Genomic DNA, 8,569 nt, shown 5'->3' on the forward strand with positions numbered 1-8,569 from the left:
CAGGTGTATAGGACTTTTCATTCTATGGCTTCATGCTTACTATTTTGAAATGGACATATTATTCAATGCTTATGATTTGATTATTATAAACTTGCAGTTAAATAATTTGTTTCATAGAATTATGTGCTAAATGTTCTTACAGTCTCTACTACACCCATCATCCCCTTATAAATAAACTGGGCTGCTCACACCTTATGTGGAAAGGAGAGCCTGTGAGATACCATTTGAAAAGGTACCCCTAACCATTGCTAATGGAATCAGACTCAGACATATGAACCGATGACTCTACAAACGATGCTAGAAAAAAAACTCTGGAATAACTTGGGCCAATAGGATGCTCGATATTGTAAAGATCATGTGGAAAATATGCAAAAGATTGATTCATCAACACTAGGAGAAGCTACACGTCAACAAAATAAGGTGATGATGTAGAGTAGGATCAATGAGCAATCTGTTTCACTCCGTATCAACAAGAATATGAACAATGCAACCCAACTGGCTGACAATATCAGCAATCCTTGCTGTGGATGGTTCTCATATGCATGAACTTTAGTTACCATGGTTTAGGTAAATGACACCAGTCCTGCTGCAACATGGTTTAAATTTTGGTTACCAGAGTTTATTAACTGTGAATAGCTACATAAAGTACAAATTTCTGCTTACAAAAGCATGCCAATCTACAAATCCCTACACAAAGGACAGATGTAGATCATGACCAACGTCCAATCCTGTCACTTTTTCAACGTCAGTGATTGGTCACTGGGCATAGCTTTCTGTTCACACACAGACAGCAAAGTTCATAGTGTGTTTGTTACCTCTTTGTCTCCCAATGATTCATACAAGTGATATTTTACAGAAATGGATAAGCAAATGGAGATGAAAGTAAAGCAAAAGACAGAGATATAGATCAATGGAACAGAACAGAGCCCTCAGAAATAACGCCGCATATCTACAACTATCCGATCTTTGACAAACCTGAGAAAAACAAGCAATGGGGAAAGGATTCCCTATTTAATAAATGGTGCTGGGAAAACTGGCTAGCCATATGTAGAAAGCTGAAACTGGATCCCTTCCTTACACCTTACACAAAAATTAATTCAAGATGGATTAAAGACTTAAATGTTAGACCTAAAACCATAAAAACCCTAGAAGAAAACCTAGGCATTACCATTCAGGACATAGGCATGGGCAAGGACTTCATGTCTAAAACACCAAAAGCAATGGCAACAAAAGACAAAATTGACAAATGGGATCTAATTAAACTAAAGAGCTTCTGCACAGCAAAAGAAACTACCATCAAAGTGAAAAGGCAACCTACAAAATGGGAGAAAATTTTCACAACCTACTCATCTGACAAAGGGCTAATATCCAGAATCTACAATGAACTCAAACAAATTTACAAGAAAAAAACAAACAACCCCATCAAAAAGTGGGCGAAGGACATGAACAGACACTTCTCAAAAGAAGACATTTATGCAGCCGAAAAACACATGAAAAAATGCTCACTATCACTGGCCATCAGAGAAATGCAAATCAAAACCACAATGAGATACCATCTCACACCAGTTAGAATGGCAATCATTCAAAAGTCAGGAAACAACAGGTGCTGGAGAGGATGTGGAGAAATAGGAACACTTTTACACTGTTGGTGGGACTGTAAACTAGTTCAACCCTTGTGGAAGTCAGTGTGGCGATTCCTCAGGGATCTAGAACTAGAAATACCATTTGACCCAGCCATCCCATTACTGGGTATATACCCAAAGGATTATAAATCATGCTGCTATAAAGACACATGCACACGTATGTTTATTGTGACACTATTCACAATAGCAAAGACTTGGAACCAACCCAAATGTCCAACAATGATAGACTGGATTAAGAAAATGTGGCACATATACACCATGGAATACTATGCAGCCATAAAAAAATGATGAGTTCATGTCCTTTGTAGGGACATGGATGAAATTGGAAATCATCATTCTCAGTAAACTATCGCAAGAACAAAAAACCAAACACTGCATATTCTCACTCATAGGTGGGAATTGAACAATGAGAACACATGGACACAGGAAGGGGAACATCACACTCTAGGGACTGTTGTGGGGTGGGGGGAGGGGGGAGGGATAGCTTTAGGAGATATACCTAATGCTAAATGATGAGTTAATGGGTGCAGCACACCAGCATGGCACATGTATACATATGTAACTAACCTGCACATTGTGCACATGTACCCTAAAACTTAAAGTATAATAATAATAAAATAAAATAAAATTAAAATTAAAAATTTAAAAATAAAAAAAATTTAAAAAATTTAAAAAAAGAAATGAAAAGTAATAATGCCAGGAGTAAAATTTAACTGAGGCATAAATGGAGTTACAGAACAAATATATTTCAGCTGACGGCCAGAATGTTGACACTGTAGTCCTTCAGCAGATGTTAAACATATAGACAGAGGAACTTAGGGAAGGTGAAATTATTGACATAAATGAAGAAAAGAATGAAGATGTCTCAGGAAAAGGAGCCATAGCAAAAGGAACTCTCAGAAATATTTCCTGAGATCGAGTAAAGGATGAGATAGTGGAACCTGATCCAACCTTTAAAAGGAAGCATGACAATTCACGAAGACATAGAAAAGAAGCTAGCTTCCTATAGTAAGTATTGTGTCAAGCAGGCAGGCACTCAAACCACTCCAAATAAGTACTTTGCAAAGAAATAAACCATTTTCATTCTCAATTTTTCAATGTTTTTAATAACTGTGGTAAATAAATACTAGTTTTACCTTTTAAAAAATGCCCCTATAATGTATAGTCAAGAGTAAGGGATTTTTCAATATTTTTGAAATATTTTGTAAAAGTTACATAAAGATAATAATTTTCCCCAGTCATAATTAAGAGTGCTTTGCATGGTTTCAGCTTGAACAGTCATTATTACTGTCCGACACTAGTGTGCAAAGTGAGGATGGCATGTGTGGTGTAGATTAAGTGTAAATGAGAAATGAAATAATGAAAACCAAAGGAATAATCAATGTAGTACTTCTTGCACATACGATTTGAAGGAAGTTTGGAATCCAGCTTATCATAGTGAAAAATTTTGTTTAAAAAATTAAAGGTTGTGTACTTTCAGAGTTACATCTAAGAATCCCAATTTGCAAACAAAAAATTGCTATACTGGTAAACAAGAATTTTGTAATCAAGGACTGCAAACTTGAGACTTATTTATGCCCTCTCAACCCCGTAAGAATTCATAGACACGTCAGAAAATTGGGTACGGATGAACTAAACAAGAATGACATTATCCAGAAATGGTCAAGGAACCTTGCTGAACCAGACTGTGCCAGATAACAGAAAAGGATACTGGCAGGAGAAAGAAATTCTCAATTCTTTATGCATCCCTCAGGTTTCTTTCTTTCAGTAATGTACTTGTGAAAATGCTGTTTCAGCTTTTTCCCTTGCTTTCTTTTTGAACTAATTTACAAAATGAAGTTGATTCATATCAGAAATATCTTTGTCAGTGCCAACCTGTCAGTGCACCTAAAAAAGCTTCTTAGTGAAGAGAAACACTTCTTAGTGAAGAGAAATCTGAAGTAGAAACAGCTTTGAACTGCAATGCAGAGGATCAAGTCCCACCTAGTTTAATAGCTATGCCACTCTTGGCAGGACACTTGTCTTCTGCCCTTAGTGTCCTTATCTGTATATTGAGGGGTCATTTAAGGCTTGTTCTACCATTGTACATTGTGTGATAATGCAGGAGCTTTAATACTGGACAAATTATTTCCCATCGTTTTCATGGACCAGAATTCTATGTCCAATAGTTCTATTAGGGCTACTGTTAGTCCTTCCATTAAAGTGTTGTTAGCAAGGTGTTATAACTTGGCTGACTCAATAAGTGAGTTCATTTATAGAATAACATCAAGACTTTAAATATACAAAATCACATTATTTTACAAATTCTTATAAAGATATGCCACACAGCTGCATGTAAGCATTTGGGGCTTACAGATTAATCCCCTGAGGAATATGTAATTAAATGAGGTAACAATGATGGTATATATTTCAATTTAAAAAATAATTTTAAAAATATATTTATTGAAACAGCACAATTCACTATTAACCTCATGAAACATTTCTTAGGCTTGATCTGAAAGAGGCAAATTAAAAGTATAGTAAAATACCATTTCTCATCCATTAAATGATGCACAAAAATCCAAAAGTTTGGGGCATGCATGTATTGCTGATAGGAATGCAAGGTGATACAACCACTATTGATTGCAATTTGGTAATATCTAAAATAAAATATATATGCATTTACAATTTGATTCAGCAACCCGAGCTCAAGAAATCTAACCCAAAGCTACAGTGGCAAAAGTGTGAAGTCATATATCTAGAAGAAATTGCAGCAATTGCTTTACTAGAAAAACATGGTAATTTTCCAAATGCCCACCATTAGAGGAGTGGCTGAGTCAACAATTTTACATTTACAGAAAGTACTATCTAGGACTTTGTGCCTGCAGAAAGGAATAAGTATCTCTATACATGGTTGTGGAGTTATCTACAAGATACGTAGTTCAGTAAAAATATAAGGTGCCAAACTCTTCATACTGTACTACCTTTTATGTAAGAAAAGGAGTATATTAACACATATATTTCATTATATTTAAAAAAGCATTGGAAAGATAAACGAAAAATAATAAAAGTGATTACTTCAAGGAGGATGCAGAGAATAGAGTTGAATACTAGATTCCTTTGTATTGGTTGGTTTTGAAATTGCTCGGTTTTGAAAATTTAGCTTTGGGACAATCAAGCCTTTTACATGATTATAAGACAAATTTCAGTCAGAGTGAATAAATCAGTTCCCAAAACTGAAAGTAAAACAAAACTGATAATTGAGTGGCTGACTTAACTAAACCCAGGAGAATCACTTCAAATAACACTTAAATGTAGATGTTAACTAAACACCTATAATTGAGTATATCCTAAGGTCAAAGGAATTACAAAAGCACACTAAACTCTTCTTCATAACTAAGTAGTTAGTAAATGTTAGCCATTGTTAGCAAGCATTATTAGTAATAGTAATAGTACCAATATTACTAGTAGTCTGAACTAATAATAGTAATTGTAATAATAATAGTAAAAGGAAATGAGTAACTATGCTGGTGCTGTTTAAAACAAAGGTTTTAGTGTGAGAGATAATGGATACAAATATAAGATTAAAAATTAAGTGAGAACCCCATAATTATAAATTTGAATTGGAAATGACCATATTTCCAAAAGTGGAAAATGTCTAGATACAATTACAAACAATGACTCTCTCAGTGTCTTGGTCCTAATATATTCCACTGAAGGAAACCAAGGCTACTTGGAAAATTGGCTAATTTCAGATCTTAGGTAGCAAATGTACAAGATAACCTTGGAGCATCACGTTTTACAAGAAAGCAAAGAAGCTATTGAAAACTACTGGGATCATGTGAAAAATGATGCAAAAGCAAGCTAGAAAGTACTCTTACTGACCAAAGTCAGGAAAATGTGCATTATTACATATACATGAGGCCTGTTTATTATTTAAAAATTAATATGAAGAAAAAATACAGCAACAGTTAATTCTTTCTTATTTATTTGTAACCAATCTTTTCCAAAACTTCAGTGTGTTTTTTTCAGAAAAGTATCTTCAAATAGGAACTTGAAACCTATGGGGTTATTTTACTTAGAAACACCACATAAAAATTATAAACATCACCAAATCTTAAAGGTAATATTGGCACTTTCCAAATAACATGGTATGGGGGATGAAAATAATTTTGCCAAATTTTTGATACTATAAAGGATTATTTTAATCTAAATTTAATATTCTTATGACCTATAAATTAAACTTTGTATAGCATTTTATTTAAATTTTTTATTAAAAATTATATTGTTGTACAATTTATTTCAAGAAACTAAAGTATTTAAATTAACAAAAAATAATTTTTACTATGTGCATGTTACAAATATTATTAAAGAATGAGGTCCTGTGGACTTTTGCATGCATATTTATTTATATATTTTTAAATACATTTACCTATTTATCATAGATCATGTAAGAAAGATGGATAATTTTTAATTCTCACACAATTTTGTGGCATTGTGTATAACTTGAAAAGAAAACTACAAGTCAAAAACATCATTACGGAGAATTTAGTCTTTAAGAATGTGAAAAAGAGAGAAAGAATTAGAAATGACAATGTCATACCTTGTTATTTTTAACATCATATTAACTTTGGGTGAGTTTGTATATTTATTCATTGTAAATTGATACATTTTTTCTTTATTTATGGAAAATACATGGATCTATTAATGTACATTATTATTTATTTTTATTTTATTTTATTTTATTTATTTATTTTTTGAGACGGTGTCTCGCTCTGTCCCCCAGGCTGGAGTGCAGTGGTGTCACCTCAGTTCACTGCAACCTTTGCCTCCTGGGTTCACGCCATTCTCCTGCCTCAGCCTCCAGAGCAGCTGGAACTACAGGCGCCCACCACCACACCCAGCTAATTTTTTGTATTTTTAGTAGAGACGGGATTGCACTGTGTTAGCCAGGATGGTCTCGATCTCCTGACCTCATGATCTGCCCGCCTCAGCCTCCGAAAGTACTGGGATTACAGGCATGAGCCACCAAGCCCAGCCCAATGTACATTATTTTTAAATATGTAAATAAATACATGTAGTTATATCCTACAGTACATTTATTGAATTTAAAAGAACTTGAATTAACAAGAATTTTCATTTAACACTTGCACTTTCTATAGGCCTTTCAAAAAATATAATGGAACAGCTGAAGCCTTCAAGTCTAGAGCCACGATGCAGTCTTCTTGCTACTGGAGAGTTGCATACATTGCATTAAATTCTTCTAAGAGACTCATGGATTGCTCTTTCGTAGCAGTGATAATATCTGGTATCCTATCCCATATTATGTTAACTTATTAATCAAATTATTTTATTTATACTGCTTTAATTTATTTATTTTGTCTTTAAGTGTTCTGTTTTATTTTTATTGACTACTAAAGTACACTTTATGTATAACATCCCTTTATTGTTTGTGAGGCTGGCTTTACGTGCAATAATCAAGGAACTTTAGCTGATAGACTTATTATAACAAAATTAGAGGAAAATGATTTCTCTGGGGCACTATAACAGCTGCTATTAATTTCTTAATTGTTCTCGTGTATGTTGCTTAGTATAATCGATGTCAATTTGTGAGTTCTAGAACACATTAAAAACAGTCTTCATTGAAATAAACTATAGCTATATTTTTCTTTACCAGAATATGTGGTCATGAGATTTTTCAGGAACAAATGACCTTTTGAAATGGGAGAAGAATTAATAGTTTAATAGCATTGGCAGAAGAAACTGTTCTTTTAGGGACATCGGAAATATCTTCTTGGCCAATTTGGCTTTGAGTATTAAATTTCAACCACAAAGTTTGGGTCCTTTTAAACGTTTTTATATTTTGATTTGGAAACAATTTCAAATTTCAAATTTGTGGATTTATCATTTGCTTTCTCTATCTCACTCTCTCGCTGTCTCTTTCCCTCTCAAATAAATACATAGAATATGTAAAATAAATAAAATACACAAATTAAAATAAAAATATTTTTATTATACCTACTTGGGATAATTTGCATACTTCAATAATGTTTCTTAAAAATAATGATATTCTCATATAACCTCAATATAATTATCAACTTCAGTAAATTTAAAATTGATATAGCACTTACTAATGTACCATTTTTGTCACAATTTTGTCAATTGTGTACCCAATAACATTCTTTATGGTATTTGTTTACCTTCAACACGGTATCCAGTTTAATGCATCAGCTATTGCATCCAGTTGTAACATCTTTGCTCTTTGTTCATTTTATATTACAGTCTCTTAATATTTAAATATCTCCCGAAAGACATAGCATTAAAGTAATTGTTATAATCTATTATTAATAAAAGAAAAGCAACAAATTGAAAAAACAAACACTTGTATAGTGTTTCTATAGAAGAGAGTACTTCTCTCTTATCTTTTATCATCATTTCTCCACCAAACTTTATTATTATTATTATTATTATTATTATTATTATTATTATTATTATTTTGGTAGAGAGATGGTTTTGCCATGTTGGCCAGGCTGGTCTCGAGCTGCTGACCTCAAGTGATCCACCTGCCTCAGCCTCCCAATGTGCTGGGATCACAGGCGTGAGCCACTGTGCCCAGCCTCCACCAAACTTCTTAAAAGTATACTCTCTACTCCCTCTTCTTGGCTACAGATACCTTAACTTTCTGTCATCTGTCTTCTGGCTTTTCTACTCTGAAAACGTTTTTGAAGTCTACCATGACTTTAGAAATCCAATGAACTTCTTGTGCTCTAACTCCTTCTCATCCTTTCTTAAGCATTTTTTTTTCTATTTACTACCCTCTTGATACTAGAACCCATCTCTTACTTTGCTCCATTGACCCTGGGTTCTTGTATTTTCTTTACCTTTTTGGTCAGCTTTTATCTTTCTCATTTCCTGCTTCATATTCTTTTAGTGTCTTAAAAATAAAA

This window comes from Homo sapiens, chromosome 9, assembly GCF_000001405.40.
Source record: "Homo sapiens chromosome 9, GRCh38.p14 Primary Assembly".
Taxonomy (NCBI): Eukaryota; Metazoa; Chordata; class Mammalia; order Primates; family Hominidae; genus Homo; species Homo sapiens.